At 45.4% G+C, this 22677-nt stretch overlaps 1 protein-coding gene across 9 annotated transcripts in view; it reads right to left on the bottom strand.

The window, feature by feature from the left end:
* Window positions 1–22677, bottom strand: part of CYRIA (CYFIP related Rac1 interactor A) — a 116376-nt gene that overhangs the window by 77306 nt on the left and 16393 nt on the right. Inside the window, exon 1 of one of the 9 annotated variants that reach the window (XM_047445945.1) lies at window positions 13978–21562. The exons of the other annotated variants lie outside the window; for them this stretch is intronic. The gene's annotated coding sequence lies outside the window, so the exon portion shown is untranslated. Of the gene's footprint in view, window positions 1–13977; window positions 21563–22677 lie in introns of those variants that run through there. 9 annotated transcript variants of the gene reach the window in all.

Here is a 22677-nt window from a genome sequence, read left to right on the forward strand (position 1 = left end):
GCATGCATTTGCTCCCATCCAAGCAGCCACAGGCGGCCCAGGCTACTTCCACAGTGCTATGCCCTGTGCCTGGCCTGGTGGGGCTTCACACCACACAACACAATCAGGAGTTTGCCCTTCTGTAGCACCTGGCAGCCAGTGAAATGCTTTTCCATATCTTTTCATCTTTGCTCATTTTGAGAGCGGTACAAAGCTGAGGGGTAATCACCCCAGTTTATAAATGGAGAAGCCGAAATCAGAGACAGGAGGTGCCTTATCCAGAGTCTCAAAACAGAACTAGGGCCCGAAATAGGCATCTCCTGTCTTCCAGTCTAGCGACCTTTCCCCATGTCCTGTCCCACCCCACCCCATTCAGGGGAGGGCTAGGGAAGAGCTTCAAACGGCTGCTGCCTTCCCCTTCTGAATGGCTCTGGAAATAGAAAAGCAAGGCACAACAACTGAAGGGAAGGCAATATCCACTACGGGAGGCCGAAAGGGCCCCAAAGACTGTGTCCCCACCCTCCGGGGTGGGCAATCAAGGGACCCAAAGCCCAGGGTGGGGCATGCTTGTGCCCACAGTTCACCAGCAGCAGAGCTTAGACTGAGTCCCTCAATGCCAGAAGCACAGAGCAACACTGAGAAACCAGAAGGGGCAGGTGTTTGGATAATAAAAATAGCTAACACTGATCAAGTACTTACTGTGTGTTGGGCTTTGTTTAGCACTGTACATGTAGTGACTCCCTGAAACCTCATGGCAACCAAACTAGGTAGGCATTATTATTGTCCCCTTTTACAGAAGAGGTAACTGAGGCACAAAATGATTAAGTCACTTGTCCATGGGATTTAGCTTTTGAGTGATAGAGTCAAGGTGTGAACTTAAGCAGTCTGGCTCAAATTCTGCAAAGCCAAATAGTGGAAAGAAAGAGAATAAAGCAAATACACTAGGAACAGATGACACCTTCCTTCAAAAGGAGAGAAGGAAGATAGGAGACTCTCCAGGCAGGAAAGACTGACAGCTGCTGTGCAGGCAGAATTAGGAATTTGGTACCTAGTGCCCTCTGGGTAGCAGCCGACCAATGTCAGGCAACACCAGTAAATGACATCCTGGTGTTGGTGTTTATACAGCATGGCTGGGCCAGGGAGGGGATGAAGGCAGGGCCTGAGATGGGTGGAGGGGATGATGCCTTGGAAAGCCAATTCCTATGTCCCAGAGAGATGGAGCAGCTGGGCGGGCAGGCAGGCGGTTCCCTTTCTGCATCCCCAGCACCAGCAGTGCACACATGCCCGGGACACCAGGCTTCGGGGATGCCACTGGGTTTCAGCCTCATGATGCCTGGGAAGCCAGGAAAGACAGGGGTCATCTCTCACCATTTCTACAATGAAGAGCTAAAGCCAAAAACAGTCACAGCCCTAGAATAATAACAACAACAACAGCCACCATTTGTTGGCAGGTTATGATTTGTCAGGAAATATTCTAGATGTGTATATAGATTATGTAAAAATGATACCAACTCTGAGAGGTCCATATGATTATTCTTAATTTGCAGTTGAGGAAAGCTAAGTAATTCTATAAAGGTCAAAGCTAGCAGGCTATGAGAAAGGATCTGAACCACCATTTATCGGACTGTGAGGCCCCTGATCTCACCTCAAAGCCGTGTGTGCTGTGAAATGGTTAAGTGACTTACCCACAACTGTGCAGCTGTGCTAACCCACAGCCAGCTTCTGGGCTGTCAGAGCACATGGGCACAGGCGTTTACTTCCACATACTCCCTACGCTACACATCCACACTAAGTGCTGCTAACCACTTTTATATACACAGTCATACAGTTGGGGTGATTTAATGGTTTATCATCCAAACGAGGATACCTCTGAGAGTGAAAGGGGGCCCTTTTAATAATATTGCTGGGACAACAGGCAGACACCAGGACTGTCCTAGGCATGTAAGAACATGCAGTCACCCGAATACAATCCACACTCCCACAGGCTGGTTATTTTTATGTCCAGTTGTGTTGGTAGAGGACCCTTCTGGGCAATGCCTTGCTTCCCAATCCACACAAATACTCTTTCCAAATAATCCACTCTCCCTGTGTTCACCTGCCTGTCTTCTGAATTCACGGAGCTTGTTGGCCTTATAGATAAACAGGCTGATGCCACTTGGTTATAAAGCAGTCATGTTATGGTTTGAGAAGGCAGGGTGTCACTAATTCAAACAGTGTATTTTAAAAGACTGGTGGGTTCCTTGTGCCCTGGAAGCCCCGGAACCCTAATACCCAGCTGTTCTGATAAGCAGCCTGTCCCTCAAGAGTGAGGACTCTGTGGCTGTCCCATTGAGGACAGCCTGAGACAAGCAGATGGGAAACCAGCACGGGAATACAGCTGCCACCACTACTGGACCTGCTGGAGAAACCGCAGTCTACTGGGAGGACACAGACCTGGGGTCCTCAGGGGACAGGCGCATCTCTAAGACAAGGCCTGGCCTTTTTCTGCTGCCAGCAGGCACCCATCATGCGTGGGAGTGAGCAGCTCTAACCTGGTGAGAGATCCTCCCTTTTCCCCTGACTGGGCCTAGTGGGGAAGGAGGTGGTGTTTAAAGCTCGTTTTTGTTTTACTCTTTCCCTAAGAATCTGCCTTCTTAGGAATCTCTGACAAGAGGAAGGAAGAATCTGCTGTTCTTTTGAAGCCAGGAAATCACTCTTAACAAACTCTCCCATCAATACAGGTAAAGTGCAGAGCTAATGAGAAAGCAGAGGGCATTTGTCTGTTCTCTGAAGAGACCGTTTCTGGCGTATGTTTAATCATGGAGCATCATAGGACCTCGAGGCCAGGGATTTTCAGAGGCCCCAGAGAAGCCTGCCAGCTCCTAGCAGCCCTAGAAACTGGCAGGGCTCTTGGAGGCACTGACGTGCAGGGCTCTGGGCCCTCATCCTGTGATAAAAGGAATAGAGATATTTTTTACCTGTTTTGTGTAGGGGCTTCTGCAAGTGATGATTTTTTGGTAAATAGACCTTTTTGCAAATTAGGCCATGTGCACAGGTTGTGGGAATTAGGGAATGCACTTATCTTCTTACGGGTTACCATTCAACACACAACAGCTGTGATTATGACTATATGTTATAATGTTATTCTGGGGGATGCTTAAGACCTAGAAAAGGAAAGGATTTGTCTGATGCCACCCAGCATGCAGCCTTCCCATGGTGGGAAGCCGAGCATGGAAGAAGCCCAGAGACCAGATAGTGACTAACTGGGAGTGGCCGTGGCTCAGGCAGTCCTAGACAGTCAGAGGCCAACACGCCGGTGATGATGGTGATGGGGCAGAAGATACCAACCCTTATTCACTGAGCATTGACTGTGTGCCAGGCATGGTCTAGACATCACCTGGATGTTCTACCAGCCCTCGCCCCACTCTTGCTGGAAATGGCAGTGCTCCTATTATCCACATCTTACAGATAAGGAGCTGGACAGTCACTCAGAGAGGCTGAGTGATGAGCTCTGGGTTAATGGCGAGTAGATAACGAAGTGCGCATTTGGACTCACATCTGAGGGACCCCCACCTGGGCCCTGACCACTGTACTCTACAGCAAAGGAGAGGACCCAGGCCACCCTCAGAGGTGGTGTTTATGAGTCATGGGGCAGAGAAGGCAATTGCAAGTGGCAAATGGTAGCAGAACCAGAACAAGAGCCCAGATCTCTACTCCTGGGCTCACATTAGTCCCATTTCCCAAGGCTGTAGTTTAACATCTCTCTGTGGTCTTTGTAACACCTGAATGGCCATTAAGGTGAGTGCACCCATGTTCAGGGCAGGAAAACACCTGCCAAACTGGCTGCAGCATTCAGGAAACTCCACCAAGCTTTTCGATGAGTTCACATTGCACTGCCTGAACACAACCGCTGGGGTGGGTTCCTTCTCCTTGAGACTGCATTTTAGAATGTCAGTTACACCAGGTCTCCTTTGAGTGAGGAAGTGGGAGACACATTAGAAACCCAAGGAGACCAGCTTCCTCTTCTCAGACAACCCCAAGCAACAGCACAATTGGATGTCAGACAAAGGGTCATTTTTACCTCCCCTCTTCCCATCCACGGCTCCAACTACAGGAGCATCACCATTAGGGAGGGGTAAGGGGCACACCTTAAGCAGGTTTGAGATGTCAGCGGCTGACAGCCTGCCTTGTCTCCATCAGGAAGGCAGCAATAAGACAAAAACCAACAATCTGGGCTGTGGAGTCTGAGCCTGACCACCCCCAGGTGATGCAAGCCAGGAGGTTGCCTTGACTTGGTCTTGACCCGGGTCTACCCCTAACTTGGCCTTGGCTGGGCTGTGTGACCTTTAGTCAGTCACTACTGTCAGATCCTCAGATACAACACCTGTTAAATGCAGATCATATGGAGATATATACCAGCAAGCCTCTTTGGACTACTTTGAAAACCAAATGAGCTATTATATTTGTGTTCGTGTTTTATCTCCACCATTGAGTGGAAAGTTACTTAATAGGAGAGGTCATGTCTCATTCATCTTTACAAATGATTGTAACTAGCCCAGAGCCCTGCACAAATGAGAAGAGGTGATGGTTGAATTGTAAACTTCAGCTTCTCTGAGGGCAGTGAATAGCCCAGCGTAGCTGGGGAGGAAGGAAAGAGGTGGCAGAGATACAGTGAGTAGATGAGTGGAAAAAGAGGCTGTTGTCAGGCTGTGGAGGACTTTACACATACTGATGCTTCTAAATTTCATCTGTAGCTGGATGGTAAGCTGATATCCCAAATGCTTTAGTAAGCATTAGTGGAGGATGGGGCTGTAGAAAGAGCCTGGGGACTCAAGCCCAACAATCATAAACCTCAGTCTCAGGTCTTTGGAGCTAAGCCTTAGTTGCCTTATCTGCAAAATGAGAATAACAACTTCATTCCAGGGTCATTAGGGATACCTAGCATTTAAAGTGACCAGTGCAGTATTTAGTATCTATTTGAATTTCAGCAAATACTACTGCCCTAAATGAGTGAGGCCAAGCTGACCTTGACTATCAGATGTAACGGTATGTTACAGAGGTTCTAGGCCAACGCTGCCTTGGAGTGAGAAACTAAGCAATGGTACCATGGCCACGCTGCAGTGAGGACAATCTAGAGTCAGTCTGGCTACAGTCATGTGTTGTCCAAGTTTCCAGCAATCCTGGTATGCTCTGGTATATCCTGTGAACACCTACAGCCCTCATGTACCCAAAGGCCACATGGTGTCACATGGCGAACACCCCCTGAGTCCCACAGACCACCTCAAAGCTTCCCAGTGCCCCAGCCTGCAGCACTATCTACAAGGGACACTGTCAGGTGGCTTCTGTTGGGTGTTCCGTAGAGACCACTTATGCCATAAGGCCGGCTAGGAGGCACAGCACTCTGGGCTGAGAAGCAGGAGATCTGGGTTCCAGTTCCACATGGCAAGTGACTTGCCCCATGCACAGTGGCTGAACAGTCTTGGGACTCTCAATGCCTGGAAGTGCCCTTCAGCGGAGTGTTTCTATAAGAGCTTAACCTAGGAGACACACTGACATTTGAGAAAGTCATGTTCTTATCAGGCAAACCTCTGCTAAAACTACCCTGACAATGAAGCCTCTTCTATAGAATGCTCCTGTTCAAACCCAACAGGAATATGCTGAAGTTCAGAGGGTGCCTGGTTTCTAGTTTCCACCTTACCAATTCCTGTCTGTGCCACCTCAGGGGAGTCATTACACACTCATGAGCCTCAATTTCCTCATGTGAGCCTCAGAGGCAATGATATATCGCTCATACTATTTTCTAGCAAACTGTTTCCTAACACTTCACAGAAAGTACAGATCTCATTTTATTTGGATACTCTGAGGTTGGTCATCCTTCATCTTTGTGGGAAGAGCCAGACACACTTTCACAAAGCAGGCACGGGGGAAAATGAAAAACTTCCATCATTCTTGGGAAGCGGGAGAGAGTCAGAGTCCATAGGATGAGGAATGATTGAGAATGCACCCATGACAGCTGGGAGCCGGCTTATCTATGATGCTGGCAAGGGTCATCCCTGGCCTCGGCAGACAAACACTGGCAATTGCGCTCCAGACAATAGCACAGCTGCTCTTGTTCCTAGGCTCCCTGCTGTGAGGCAAAGCAGGGGTCATATGATCAGTATTCAGCATTGCATTCGTCCCCAAGATGCAAAGGGATTCTGCCTTCCCCAATAGCACAGGGCTGCAGGAGGGGGGTGCACACCCTCCACCCCAATGAGGGGAGCAGCGGATAGAAGAATAGATAATGATAAGATTCCCCACAGAAACTGACTACAGGAAAATGCAGTTTCCATGTGAGAACCACCACTTCTAATAAAATCCATATTCCTAAGCTGAGGGTACAAGTTCTTCCATAAATGACTGCATACTAATTAGAGCCATCCTTTATGTTAACTCCCAGCTTAAGCCCAAATGTGATTTACTGCAGCTTTGTACCCTCTTGCCCTGCCTTGCAGCCTAGACTTTCACCCCCCACCCTGTCTACCATCCTTCAAGGCCAGCAGCAGAGTTTTACTTCCTCCCTGAAGTGTTCTCTGATACCCACCTAAGACCACAATCCATACTGACCTCTCCCTTTGCTGAACTCTCATAGAACTTTCTGTCTGTGCCACTCAGCATTTAGTGCCTATGAGTTGTCTCATGACTTTTATTTATTTATTTATTTATTTTTGAGACAGGGTCTCGTTCTGTCACCCAGGCTGGAGTTCAGTGGCGTGATCTTGGCTCACTGCAATGTCCACCTCGAATAGTTGGGATTACAAGTGCAGGTCACTATCCCTGGCTTTTTTTTTTTTTTTTTTTTTTTTTTTTTCTGTAGAGAAGGGGTTTCACCATGTTGCCAAGGGCTGGTCTCAAACTATCTGCCAGTCTCAGCCTCCCACGGTGCTGGGATTACAGGCATGAGCCACCGCACCCAGCTACCTCATCACTTTCTGACGGGACTGTTACATCAATCTCCTAACTGGTTTGATCCTGCTTGGGCTGTGGCCCTGTCCTCTGCAGAAAAAAGTTTTCAAAACACACATTTGATGATGTGTCATCCCTGCTTAAAACCCTTCAAGTATTTCCTACCACCTTCATGATAAAGTCCAAATGCCCTACCATGCTCCTACCCTTCCCCTGGGAGTATCCACATTCCAGTCACACCAAAGTGTTTCCCAAGGTTATATAATGAGGTGATATCAAAGGCAGGAGGAGAACCTGGATCGCTGAATAACTAGCTGAGGGTTCTTCCCTCAGTCCCAGGTGCTTCCCAGGCTAACGTTGGACCACAGACAGAATGACTAGGAGCACATGACACTGAGTCATGGTCGAGGTGAAAAAGTCAAGACCAACTAAGTATTTAGGCTTGATAAGCTTACACTGTTGACAGCCAGCCGATCCACTAAGCAACCAAGTGGGCAGCAGGCATCTGAGACTCAGGCAGAGGTTCATCTACTCTTTACACCAACACTAGGAAGGGGATCACTATTTCTCCTTTTGCAGGTGTGGAAAATGAGGCTCCCAGTGGTCACAGCTGCTATCTGGACTAAAACACCAGCCACACCCCTTCTCTTATATTCCAGAATGGTAAAATCCAACAGCCCCCCACTGTCACCACTTTGATGCCTCCCAAGCATCTTACAGTAGACACATCTGATGGTAAGTAACAGCATCTAGTCCCTGCCCAAGAGACCATTCTGTCCAGGACCCCCTTCTGGGGAACTTCATTTCTGCTCTAAGACCAGAGGTATCCCATGACTTTTCTAATTCCTTCAATGGAAAGACTGTGAAAAGAAACTTTCATTTAACAGAAGAGGGGGATAACTCCACTCTAACTGCTTTATGTTTATCCAGAGAAGTTATCAAAAACTCTTACCAGGTGACTGCTTTCCCCACAGCACATCACAGTGATAAGGGCATGTGTCTGGGGGGTGGCAGAACAAGGTCCAGAGGAGAGCAAGACTAATATGTGATCAGCAGCACACATGGACTTGGGGGCATTCTGAGCTGGCTGGCACCAGCTCACCAGATCCAACTGTACAGATCCCTTCCCAACTTCACATTCAGTGACGCCATGGAAGTAGCTTGAAACCAGCCATGGTGGAAGTATTTACACCATGGAAATTGTCCCACGCTCCCAGCAAGTTTGTTTGGCTTTCGTTTATCCCAGATAATTGGTTATTAAGCATTTAGGAGCAAACCACTGAATGGATCCATAAGATGGACACTGGGTTGGGAAGACAAGACTTAAATTGTAGCTAAAGCTCTACCGCCAACTCACTGTTTGACTTGAGCAAGTTTCTTCCTGGTCCTAAGTTTCCTTAACTGTAAAGGACATAAAGAGCACTTTGGTAAATGTAAAATAGGGAGGAGACATTTGACAATGTCTGCAGACATTTTTGGTTGTCACAACTGAGGTAGATGTGGTGCTACTGGACAGGGATGCTGCCAAGCATCCTATCACGCACAGGAAAGCCCCTCTTCCTCCCTTAACAGAGACCTACTTTTCCCAACATGTTCCTAGTGCCAAGGTTGAGAGATCCTGATGGGGAGATAGTCTCACAGTAGCCCACTGAAATACCTTGAACACATCAGCATGCACAAGGAAAATAAAAGGAGTCAGCTTGCAGGAACCCTGGGAGGGCAGTGGTGTAAAACATTGCCACGGATGCTACAGGTTTACAATGCAAGGATGAGGTAGATCTCTTGCCCTAACATGGTACCGGGCACACCATAGGTGCTCAGTAATCATTTGCGGGAAAAGTAAACGTGTCTAGTTGAAATAGCAATGCAGTCTCTCTTTAGCAAGCCTATACTCCAGTGTGTGTGCATCCCCCCACAGTGACACCAGGCAGAAGAATCTGACAAGTGTCTATTCACCTCCTCTCACCTCCTCTGGGAGGGTAGTGAAAAGACACGGTGTGAAGTTCTAGCCCTGGAGACTCAGATTAGACAAATAATCACTAGCCTGGCATCCAGAGCCGCGATGGTCAGAAGAGCAATTTTATTTAAGTCACTTTCTAATAGGAGTTGAAGCGTCTTGAAAAGTGAGGTTTTCAAAGGCTCCTCTGGGGAGGCAATTGTCAAAAACACACAGCAGGCAACCTTGCTTTCGACACATTCAAAGCCACTTTTTAAAGACAATCCTTTTCTTCTCTGTACCACTTGGGATTGAAAATGCATTTAGCACAAACCACCAGAAGCAGAAACAGCGTTGGATAAGAAACGCGACCGACATTGTGGCAAGCACGGGGAACTGCAACAGAATCTGATCAGGCTGGCACCACTCAGACATGCACAAGGAAAGAGGCAATGGCAGGCAGCATATCTACTGTCCCTCAGCCTCTGGGGTCTGGAGTCAGCGAAAGTAGGGGGTGAGGTGTAACCACAGCCGTTGCTGGAAGTCCCTTGCAAGACTCCGGATTCTGAGTTCTCACACTGAGAGTGGCAGCTGATTTCTAAACAAGCAGATGACAGAACACAGGACCTCCCTCTGTGTCTCCCTGAAGATCTGAATCTGACCATAAACCATCCGACTCACAAAGCCCTTTAATTAAAAGCCCAAGGGCCCAGAGCTAATTCGAGATGTGGCAAGACCCAGTGGCTTCTCAAGCACCAGAACTGTGAGCAGATTAATGGGGATAATTTCGCCCTTCCTGGTCTATAAATGACAACTCACTCAGATGCACTGAATGCCAGAGCTGGAAGCCACCTGGGCAACTCTCTGCCCAGCCCCTTGCTTTGTGAATGAGGAGCTCATGGTCCAGGATAGGAGGCCAACTGCCCCAGGCCCGGTCCCGAGTTTCTTACTGACTTTCAGCTAAATGCAGCTTTCTTGGTGTCCAGTGCTGAGTCACCTATCTATTCAGAGAAAATGTTTTTGTTGAGGTCTCTACACTCCCTCTGCAAGGCTTACTCAGAACTCCGGACAAGCTGGTTACAATCCATCTGGGACCTAGGGCCACAGGTTGGAAGTAGGACAACTTCAGGGAAAGAAATTACCCCTGCCTGGGCAACGTAGTAAGATCCTATCTCTCCCCCAACCCCTTGCCAAAAAAAAAAATAAGAAAGAAATACAAAACATTAGCTGGGCATGGTGGCATGCGCCTGTAGTTCCAGCTACTAGGAAGGCTGAGGTGGCAGAATCACCTGAGCCTGGGAAGTTGAGGCTGCAGTGAGCCATGATCATGCCTCTGTACTCCAGCCTGGGTGACAGAGCAAGACCCCATTTCAAACAACAAAAAATAGAAAAGAAATTTCCAAAACCCCCACACACCAGGAGCTGGCTATCTCCTGGGCTGAGTTTGGCCCCTTTCATCACTCCTCTGTCATTCATTCCTCACATCCACATCCCAGCACAGTGGATCTTGTGATGCCCAGGCTGAGTGAGATAAAGAAATCTGTTTGGCCAAACAGCTAATGGATTTCTTTGATTGCAGTGCTCATCAAACTCTTTTCTTTTTAACTTAAAAGTTGTAATATCTAAAGCAGCAACAAGATGACTTCTAGGGACTGAGTGTTTGTATCCCCCTAAATTCATAGGTTGGAGCCTAAATTCCCAATGTAATGGTATTTGGAGGTGAGGGAAGATTCTTTGGGAAGAATCAGGTCATGAGGATGGAGCTTTGTGAATAAGATTAGTGGCCTTCTCAAAAGAGACACAACAGAGATGATGTTTTTCTCTCTTCACCATATGAGGATGCAATGAGGAAACAGCCATCTGCAAGCCAGGAAGCCAGCCCTCACCAGACACCAGGTCTGCCCACATCTTGATCTTGGACTTCACAGCCTCCAGAACCGTGAGAAATGTATTTCTGTTATTTAAGTACTCCAGTCTATGTAATCTGTTACAGTATCCTGAACTGACTAAGCCAATGACTTCTTCAGTAATGACAAAATAATTTTGCCACATATTATTAATTAACAAACCCCTAATATATTGGATTGCAAACTTGAATTTTTTTATGCTAATAATGGCAAATACTTATGCATATGATTTATGTACCTTTCATTATACAAAATAATCTCTCATTAACAAAATAGCTTCAAGTAGCATCTACCACTCTCATTTTACTGATGCAGAGACAAAGGTCCAGAGTGCTCAGGTGAATTTTCTGACATCACACAGCCAGTCAATGGCAGAAGGGTGTCTGATCCTGAACTCTGTGTCCTTCACCAGGGACTGTGTCCACTTAGGGACCAATCAGATGCCACAGACCCTGGAAATCAGTATGTTTCATTAACATGTCTGCTAAGTGTGGTGCTGAGGGCCTGGGTAACGGGGGGTGATGGGTGGGGTGGCAGTTGTGACCTCATCTTGGGGTTTGGAAGGAGCCACACACCTGAATAGCACACAGTTACCGAAGCCTACCTGTTAGGTAAAGCCTTTGAGGTTCATTCAGACAGAGGAGCAGTAAGAAGGAGAAGGAATCTCACTGGAGCCCACCCTGCAGGCTGTTACTGGTTTCCTGAATTTCTTCCACCCCTGGGGATGAAGATTCAGAGAACAAGGTATGGTACCTCCATCTTGTTTGCTAACAGCCCGTAAGCTTCCAGGAAATATAAACACAGGAAATGACGATTAAGTACAGTGTGGCAGTTGCACAGGCTGGTGTGGAAGCATCCGTGGTGGGCACCGGACTCCACCTGTGTGATGGGATCTGGCCGGGAAAAGCTTCCTGGAGGGGCTGGGGCCTAATCAGAGTGTGAATTCCATGCACCACTAAGGGATGCTGTGAGGATGTGAAGTAGGAATAGGGTGTTCAGGCACAGAGCACGGGCCTTGAAAATGAACAAGTGACAAACCTCCTCATGTGAGGAACTCTGCATGAAGGGGTGTGGCTGGAGCATAAGAAATTGATGGGTTGGACTGGGAGGGAGGCTTGCACCGCACATGAGGCAGGGGCTGGGCGGACCACAGAGGGCCTAGCAAATACTTGTAAAGGAATCTGCATTTTGAACGTAGGGTTTTACCTTTTATTATTTTGCAGAGACAGGGTGCTATTGTCAGGTTTGTATTTTATATCGTGTGAGTGTGGAGTGTTGTGTGTGTAGATCTATATCTGTATCTATGTAATATCACTACTCTGGCAGTAGTGCCCTTACTCAAGTGACTTCACCAAGCCTTCAATTATTTTCTCTCTAAAATGGGAAAAACATGATGTGCCCTCCATATCTCAAAAGTGTTATAAGAATAAAGTGAGATAATTAATAAATAATTATTAAAGATTAAGAAAACGACAAACTTACATAAATAATTATATCTGGATTCTCTCAAGGCTGCATACAGAAAATCTCAGAACTTTAAAATATCCACTTCAAAAGAATAAATTGGGAGGGAGAGTATGAAGCATGGAGCGGAGAAAGCCACTTCCTGCAGCTGTCGCTGTTACTGTCTGGAAGGCCCTGCCCAGCAATGCACTCTGGTAATCGCTCGTCCTCGTCTCCCATGTTCTGGGCTAACTTTCTGATCCATCCAATAGCGGTAAGGAAGCAAAATACCAAGACCCTCAAACCCACCTTTCTTATTTCGCCAATGAATGTATGTTTCCAATTTTAGATAAAAGAATGACTTTCACAAAGCTCTTCCTGAATCTTAGAGAATAATAAATAGATAGGCAAAGAATATCTGATATTCAGATGAAATGGCAAGGTCTTTGTCTTACACGATGGGCACAGAAATGCCCAGTTGATTTCAGTTTCCCTCTTTCAATCTGCCCTCACCCTGGATGTATTTGACTCCAGCTAAAAGAAGGCAAGACCAGTGGAAGCAGCCTGCTGCCTAAGTACCTGCAGTGTGGGGCAGTCTGTGGAGGATAAAAGCCTCTTTCAGGAAGGAATGGTTTCCAACCACTGCACAATTACCTTTATTAGCATAACGTCCCATTGTGCATTTTGCAAAACACTTTCCCATTCCATCTCAGGAAGACTGCAGTGACAGAAATTGCTGCCACTGGGGGGAAGAGCGTGTCTGTAAAATTTAAACCATTGGGCATTTGTTCAAGACTCCTGGGAAATGATATCCCTTGATATATAATTCATAATAGCCTTAAAGCTTGCCCTACTTCTGACACATAGATGATATATTTTGGATAAGTCAGAGAGGGAGGAGGGAGAAAAATTACTTTCGAATGGCTCTGCTGTTCTTTGCCTTTTGAGTAAAGCCTGACAATATTTTGGACCACTCTTTTCCACCATAAGGGCTTCCCTTTAAGAGCTTTTTTATTTTATTTTTTATCTTTTAAATTGAAGAGGCAGCATATCATCCAGTTTCAGTTTTATCTTCTGTAACACCGGATAAAAGATGAGGCTGAATCCATCTGTTAGCACATACAGGCTGCAAACTGTGTGAATGCAGGCACACCCGCATGCATGCGCCTGCACGCACACACACACATCCTTGCAAAAAGGGGGAAAAATCCACACTTTTAAAAAATTTATCATCAGCAATCCTACCAATGCCGACTAGATAGCAGCACTTTTATCCTTTTATGGGCAGATTCAGGAGGAAGCCAGCCTCGCCCCCACAGAGGCTCTTCCCCCTGCACTGCCATAGGAATTGGGATGCTGGGACTGGCAGCAGGCCAGCCCCTCCCCCACAGCGCTAGGGTTCTAGCCTCCTGAAATCAGTGATGATACCATTGGGGGCCATAGCCTGCCATGCCCCAGCTGGCCCTGGCTGGGGACTGGGAGAACCACAAGGCATTGAGAGGGCTTCCATCTTCTGGCACAATTGGCCAAGCGACTAGGCTGGTTTTCTAGGGAAAATGGGCAGGCAGCCTGCCTAGATTTATGGAGGCAGAGTGGAGAGCCCCATCTGGTTGCTTGGCCTTTCCTCTGGTGCTGCTGGTTGGGTGGCACTGTGTATCGCCCTCTCTGGGCCTCCAGAGCTGCTTTTGCTCAAAATTACTGGTGATGCTGCAGGCACTGGATCAGATCAGGTGCAACAGAAGATCAGAGATTGGAGGCCAGAGATGACCTGGATGCGTCAGCTCTCACCTTTTTAGGTGGACACAGTGCAGGTAGAGAGTCCTGAAATGCACAGGGTTCTTTTGTTTCCTAAACACAGAAACTATGTTAATCACAGAGTTCCAAAAATAAGCAGCTTCATTTCATTAACGAGGTGAAGCTTGAGCACACATGGGCTTGGAAGAGGATGGGGTGGGGGTGGGGATGACAAGCACAAGGGACAGCCGAGGCCACTGACCTCAAAAGGCTGACGAGTTTCTCAGGGAGGGCCCAGGGACCCAGATCCACACCATGTGCCTATCCCTCTGGAGTGCTGAGCCCGTGAACTCTGATCCTACAGTGCCTCACATCCGCCCCCTCCTCTGCTCCCACTTCTGTTGCCCTAATTTAGGCCCTTATTATCTTTCTCCTGGACAGTTCTGCACACACAGCCAGATGACTCTTCCCAAAGCAGCACGGCTATTATTGCATCACTCTATGGCTCAAAAACCTTTAATGATTCCTCCACTGACTAAGAAATAAAGCCCAGCTTCTATTTTCTAAGGCCCTCTTCATTGAGTCCCTGGCCCAAATCCTAGCCTCATTCTCCGCTCTTCCTTCTCCTCCGTATGCCACGCCTTCAGCCCAGGGTCCCCTTTCCAGCCTTCCCACCTGCATGCCCTTACTCCTATATGCCCCTTTTTCTAAAATATTCTTCTTTCTCCTCCATTTGTTTAATTCTAAATCCTATCCAGCATTCAAGGCCGAATTTAAAGGCCACTTCAGCCATGGACTCAACCTTGACTCCCAGAGAAAATTTCTTTGTCCTCTGAACTCTCATAATTTTACTATCCCTCAATCCCTTTCTTTTGCTGTAACAGATTCTAGACACCTTGCTTTTCTCCTTAGGCTGTAAGACATCTGAGGGTAGAAAAATACCAAGTTTAACTTTGCATACTCATTCCATCTAGCACATGGGAGGTGCTCACCAATGTTGCATAAGCACACAAGTGAGCGTGCCTGCAGGATGGCAGACAGAAAAATGTTTTGCAGGAGATGCAGCAACATAAGCAGATCATGCCATGATGGCATGCAAAGGAGGCAGGCTGGGTGGGCTGGGGGTGAGAGCAGAGGACATGGTGATCTCCACGATGCTGAAGCCAATGGTCAACTCTCTCTTCATCTTTATTAAACCCATTAGCAATAATTGACACAATTGAGTTATCATCCCTTTTAGAAAGACTTTATTTACTTGATCTCTAGGAGGTCAGGGTCTCTTAATTTTCCTTCTAGTCAATGTGTGCTCCTTTTCAGTCTCTTTGGTTGCCTCTTTCTCTTTTTCTAAATTCTTAATATTGGCACTTCCCAGGACTTGGCCCTTCAGCCTCTCTACTTTATCAGGACTCACTCCTTTGGTGATCTTGCCTTAGTTTCACACCTTCAAATATCATCTCTATTTTGATAAATACCATATTTATATTTCCAGCTTTGACCTCTCCCTTGCCAGCAATAACCAGCAGTCTACTCAGAAGCTACACTCCAATGCCTAACTCAAACTCAGCGTGGCCCAAAACAGAACTCTTCCTCTTTCCTCCCAATCCTGCTCTACCCACATTATTTCTCATGTCAGCTAATGACAATTCCATCCTTCTAGTTGCTAGGACAAAAACAGTGAGTCATCTGAGCCTCCTCTTTATTTCACGCCCCAAATTCAATCTTTCAGAAAATTCTTTTGCCTTTACCTTGAAAATATATCCAGCGTCCCTGCATACCTTCCATACTAGTCCATCAAGAACACGCTGCCGCCAGGGTCCCCCAGTTCCACCCCTGACACCCTGTTGTTTTCTTGCCATAGAGTGGCCAGAGTGATGCCACTAAAATGTGAGTCCCACTGGGACCCTCCGCTAGAACACGCTCTCCAGCAGCACCCTTCATCAGACTCAGGGTGGACCCCCAGGACCTTGCCGACCTCATCCACAGCTACTCTTCTTCCTTTGTTCTATCAGGTCCATCACATTGGCCTCCTAGCTTGTCCTCAAATCTGTCAGTTCCACTGCCCTTTCTCTTTGCCTAGAATACATTTCTCCCAGATATATGTGTGCTCACTCCTTCACCTTTTAATAGTTTTTGCTCAAATGTCATTTTCTCAATGAGAACCATCCTGACCGCCCTTTTCAACTGCAATGGCCTTCCCTGCAACAGCCATAATCTCCTTGGTTCGGCTCCATTTTTCCCATTGACCTTTTGACCTTCTAATATACTAGAAGGCAATAAATATTCCTTTATTACCTTACCTTAAAGTTATTATTATTATTTATAATAGTATACTATATATAATAATATAATTATTACCTAAATAAGATAAATACATTACTTTAGTACTTTTTTCTTAATGTTATTACCATAATAAAATATTATTATTGTTACTTTAACATTATTAAAGTTATTATTTAGTATCTACATTTTTTCCTTAACTGATATGTCTTATCCTTACTGCCTAGAGCTATGCCTGGCATGAAGTAGGCATTCAATAAATATCTGTCAAATACAGGAATGAATCACTTTAGTCGTTCATCCTTGAACCGTAGCTTAAACAATGAATGGCATTGAGCCACAGAGAAAGGCAGCTGAAAGGCTCCTGTAGGCAGGGGGAGCTTGAGGAGCCAGGGCCTGGAGATACAGTCTTCTTCAATACTTCAAGATGGGACAGTGTTGCACAAGCCTGCCTAAATTAAAGGATGCCACTAGAGAAGCACTGCTGAGCCCAGACCTGCCATGGACAGTTTTGAGAGACTTCAATATGCAGCAATGCTTTTTACATAAACTTTTAAGACACACAGTCACGATGTAAATGAAACACACTAAAGTTGGTTAATAATTGTGTACACGTTCCCTCTTCAATTTTGTTTGCATTACACATATATTCACACCTTTAAAATGATTACAAAGATCATATCCCCAGTTCTATCTGTATTCGCCCACAATCAGACACTCTGCAGGCTTCCAGGGCCAGGCTCACATCAGTGTTGCCCACTGTTATGTTCCTAGAGCCCACCCAGACATAGTGTTTTAGAGCCTTTGTACAATGAATGAAGAGATGAATGAATGCCTTCTGAGCATCTCCTGCTAGGACAAGTTCCATGATCAAAGAATATATTTTGAGAAACAGCATTCCACTAGGCTTCACCTATGGGCAGAAAATGCATTAACCATCATTAGCCCCAGTGCCAAGCACAGTGCCTGCAGACATTCCGTAAGTATCTGATGACTGAAGATCAAGCTCATCTACCTGCAGGCCTCGGCATAATAAAGGCCACTCCTCAACTCTCTGTGCCAACATCTCAGGGCTCTCTACCCTGCTGCCAAGCCAGAGGTTCAGCTTCAACTCAGTCTGGAACTAGGTACCTCCCCTCTTTGAGCATCGGTTTCCTTATATAATAAAACGAAGCTGATATGCACCTTATATAGCTGCTGTGGAGTTTAAACGAGCTCCTGCAATGACACAGCTAGTGCAGTATTGGATATGTAACAGACATTTTAAAATGCAAAGTTAGAATTGAATGCCTGGTTTGACCCCAGGTAGAGAGCCGATGTGAGTGAATCACACATCCCAATTAGTTGCTGTGTCTGTCCCACCACACAGGGAGGTTAAGACTGAAACTCTTAAGATCAGTCCCTTTGGTGGATGGGCTGAGTCATGAAAACTTCAGTGCCTAGTCATACTGGAAGACTGCCCTTGTTGTGTTCCAGCCTCAGGTGACCATTTCTCCTCTGGACAGTCCTTGCCATGTCCACCCATGAGCAGGAGCCTATCACACTGTCCAGCTGGCATCTGTCACACTGTTGCTGGGGCTTAACTACTGTTGTCTGTCAAAGCTTCCTCTAAGCTTGTTTTCTTCCTAGATGTTTGCAAAGACACTTGTCATTACCAAATTCAGAAGCATGATTGGGGCTTCCGGGCTCTGATTAAGTCAGAAATTAACTGGGCTCTAGAAGTAACTTCCTTGGAGGCCACACTTAGATAACCACATGGAAGATGATTCCAGCATCACTGCGCATGCCTTCCTTCTTCTACCTTTGCGGGAGTCTTTAACATGCAAGGGGGTCAATTATTGCTAAGGGAAATAAGAAGAAAATAGAGCAGAAAAATAAAGACAGCCCTGCCCCACCAACCCCCCACACACGGAGCCACAACCACTCAGTCTCATAGCAGACGGCAGCTGATTGAATTTACCTCTTAAAGACAAGACTTATTAAGGAAACCGATTACCATTAAAATGAAAAAGTATAAACTTCTACTTTGATGTTGGTACAAATCAGGAAAGAAAGCCTTGGGACAGTGATAGCATTCTTTCATCTGAAAGTCATATTTCAATTGAACTTGCAGATGTTTCAGGGACAATCCATAGGCGAGCAGAAGTGATCCATGAGAATCAACGTTCTTTTCATTTTTTACAGTATAAAGGTATTTTCACAACAATTTCCAAAAGCCACAAATGACTTATGTTCAGCATTTGCTAGCCTTCAAATGAATTAACTCACCTATTCTTGGCTTGCATATTTATTCCACAAACATTTGCTAAGATAAGCAGGCAACGATCCTGGGCTAAAACAAAGGTATGGCATTTGGAACCAGAAGTTTGGCTTCAACTCAGTCTGGAACTAGGTACCTCCCCTCTTTGAGCATCAGCTTCCTTATATAATAAAAACGAAGCGGATATGCACCTTATATAGCCGCTGTGGAGTTTAAATGAGCTCCTGCAATGACACGGCTAGTGCAGTATCTGATATGTAATAGACATTTTAAAATGCGGAGTTAGAATTGAATGCCTGTGAAGTAAACACCACTGTATTACACGAGCCACATGTATTCTACCTTCAAGGTGATCACGTCATTGGAAAAGGAGATGGGATATTTCTACCTATGACTCTAATATAAGGTGGAAAGCAGTAAAAGCTCTACGATGTCACAAAGAAAATGCTTTGGAAGGTGAGACAAACCAGAGATCATTGACAGCTAGGTATCAGCAAATACTTTCTGGAAGAAAAGACATTTGAAGTAGGAGGATGCTACAGTTTATTTTAAAGGCTAATGATGGATGATTATTCATTTATACTTTAATACATAGAAAAGTATGACCTGATATGCCTGGTAATTTGGAGGGTATAAGAAAAGAAAGAGAACACGAAAAAGACCCTGTCCCCAGATGATTTATTATCTAATTGGGAAAAGATCATATGTGCTTATACACGCACACACCCACACAAGTCAGCTGTCCCTGACAGTTTGTGACAAATGCCCAATGAATAATTCAGAAATGAGGAGGCAGAAAAGGATCAGACAGGCAATGCAGTATGACCAGAACTGCACAGGCAGGTCCCAGGAGAAAAGGAGGTGGCTCTAGCTCTAGTCTTTCCCTCTCTGGGCCTCAGTATTCCCACCTATAAGATGGATGGCTTGATTTCAATCAGATTTTTCCAACCATGTAGCAAAGGTACACTTGTGGTCTAAGGAGACAGTTGGTAGAATCAAGATGTCTAGAGTTCATCCTCCCCCACCAGGCCACTACCCTGTGGCTACAAGCAGCTTCATCCATTTCTTCTGTGTGCTGTACAAATATGACCATTTTCCATGCAGCCATGACATAGCACATTTTGAAAATCCCTTATCAAGATTATCTTAAAGAATGCTGCCTGTTTAGTTGTCCTATGAGGCAGAGCTTTTGAAAATGGAGAGAACTTGTATAGGCAAAAGAAGTCTCAGGAATCTAGAGAAGCTGATCAGTGCAAGGAAAAATGGGGCTCTGGGGCAGGCAAGCTCAGGCCTCCCTGCAAGACCAGAGAAGCCACGTGCAGTGTGGGAGCCTCCTTGTTGCGACTTGACATTTTCTTTAATTGTACTTACATTCATAAAAAATGGTATTTGTGATGGTTAATTTTATGTATCAACTTGACTGGAGCATGGGGTACCCAGATATTTGGTTAAACATTATTCTGTTTGTTGCTGTGACGGTATCTGTGGAAGAAATTAACATTTAAATCAGTAGAAAGAGTAAAGTGGGTGGCACTCTTTAATATGGATGGGCCTCAACAGATCCCTTGAAGGCCTGAATAGAACAAAAGGTGAATTAAAGGGGGGGGATTTTCTCTCTTTGCTTCTGTGTCTTTAAGCTAGAAGATGAGTCCTCTCCTGCATTTGGATTCAGACTTGAACCAGACTTATACCATCAGCTCTCCTGGTTCTCAGCCCTTCTGACTTAGGCTGGAACTATATGATCAGCTCTCCTGGGTCTCCAGCTTGCCAGATGCAGATCTTGGGACATCTGAGCCCCTATAACCATGTTGGTTAATTACTTAAATAAATCTCTTTCTATCTGTAGCCATATCCGTATCCGTATCTATCTCCTATTGGTTCTATTTATCTGAAGAACCCAGATTAATGCATACCAGGTAACAGGGGATGTGTTAATTTGCTCAAGCAATGAAACCATATCTGGTACAATCTTCCTTCCAAAAAGATTTTTTACAGTCATTAATTGTGTTCATGCAAATTAGCGAGTTGAAATTTAGCTTTCCTGTATCATCTCAGTTGACTTGAAGCAAAGAAATAAACAAGTATATTCAAATACTAGATAATTAACAAATGTCTAAATTTGAAGCAGGTCTGGAGTATGCTCTGAAATCCAAAAGACCTTGTCTAAATTCTGGTTTTGCCATGTGTGAGCCACCTGATTGATTATACGCAAGAATGTAAGCTCCTCTTTCTCATCTGTACCAGCTGCTCTTGCAGAATTATTAAAAAGATTAGACCCAGCCCAGAGCTTAGCACACGATGTGTCCTCAGCAAGTGCCAGTTTCCTTTCTCCTTGATCAAAACCCATACTACAAGGCCCTGCAGGTCCAGTCTCCCTCTGAACCATATCACTGCTGTCTTCATTTACTCCTAGCCATACATACTGACCTCTTGCTTTTCTTTGAATTAGCAAAGCACACTCTCATCTTGGGCTCTCCCCACTTTCTTTCTCCTCTGCCTTGTACAGTCCACATTTTTCCTTCAGATTCTGGCATGGCTCACACAGCCCCCACAACCCCGCAGTTCAAACACTTCTTCCAGGTGTCTGCTAATCAGACTGCCTTCCCTGACCCACTCATATCAAGGTGAATGACAGTGTCCCTGTGAATGGCCTTTGTGCTTCCAATGAGCAATACTCTGAGAGGCTCCTGTTGGAGCCACCACTACAGTAGTTTGAGGCCCACGGCCCTGTCCAACCAGGATGCTCATCTCATCCCCCTGACCTCCCGGGCTGTAAACACTTTACATGTATCACCTCATTAAATCCTCACAGCACCCCTAAGAGAAAATGCTACTATTACTATCTTCATTCCATTAATCTGACTAATGAGACACAGAAAGGTTAAGTAATTTGCCTAAAGTCACACAGCTAGTGAGTGGAGAAGTGTCCCAGGTGGTTTTATCTATCTCAGAGAAACTCAGCCAGGGGGGTGGAGTCTCTGCCACACCCACTGCATAGCCTGGCCCTGCCCTCACATCTTGTTGCCTTGGTTCGGTTGTTTGTAAATTTAAGAGGCTACCATTGCTCCCAGGAAGACAGGGTAGGAACAACAATGACAACAGCAAAAAAAAAAAAAAAGAATGTAATGAATAGTAAGCATTTGGGACAGCCCCAAAGAAAGACACAACAATGGTCAAAAGCACTATGTCAATACTGTCCCTGTCAAGGCCACTGCCCATCAACAATGCTGGGGACCTTGAGTTAAGTCTGTGCCACTAGAGTTATTTGATGTGATGACACGAGTTTCATCAAAAGGGGAATTTCAGCAAAAGGCTTTGTGGATGTGATTACACTTGAATTTAAGAAATAAATTGATAAACCTGTTTATCTCTCTAGCATGCAGCTGAAAATTTGGCTTTGCTGTTTTCTAATCTTAAATAGACTTCAGAGACTTGGCTTATATTTTACTGTCTTGGGTTCCCAGATTATTGGAGCAGCTGTGATCTCATGAATTTACTCAGAACAACTAGTATGTACTGAATATCTACTATATATCAAGAAGAGGGTCTAGGCCTTGCTTTTAAAATGTAGGGGTGGGTGACACAAAATTTCCTCCATCATAGACCACTACATTCTAGTGTGATATTTCCCAATAAATATTGATACCAGACATAAGCTCCATTCTTAGTATCCAGTCAAATATTATTTTACTAAGAACATAATGTTCACACCGTGTTTAATAAGCTTACAATGTACTTGTTACACTGCATTATTTCCTCAATTGTAAAAGATTTTATAGTCAGCCTTTCATATTCACAGTTCCACATCCTTGGAATTCAACCGACCAGGTTGGAAAATACTCAGAAAAAAAAATAAAAAAATAACAACAATAAAGCATAATGAAAATTTAAAAAACAACATAGTATAACAACTATTCACTTAGCATTTACATTGTATTAGGTATTGTAATCTAGAGATTATTGAAAGTATATAGGAGGAGATACATAGGTTATATGCAAATACTATGTCATTTTATATAAGGGACTTGATCTTCTGCAGATTTTGATATCTTGGGAGAGGGATGGTCTCTCTCCCAGGGACGATTACAGTACAGAGGAAGGATGTACAGCACAGGGGATGGTTGCACAGTACAGGGGACGGTTGTACACTACAGGGGACAGTTGTACAGTACAGGGGATGGTTGTATAGTACAGGGCATGGTTATACAGTATGGGGG

The sequence above is a fragment of the Homo sapiens genome, chromosome 2 (assembly GCF_000001405.40).
Source record: "Homo sapiens chromosome 2, GRCh38.p14 Primary Assembly".
Lineage (NCBI taxonomy): Eukaryota > Metazoa > Chordata > Mammalia > Primates > Hominidae > Homo > Homo sapiens.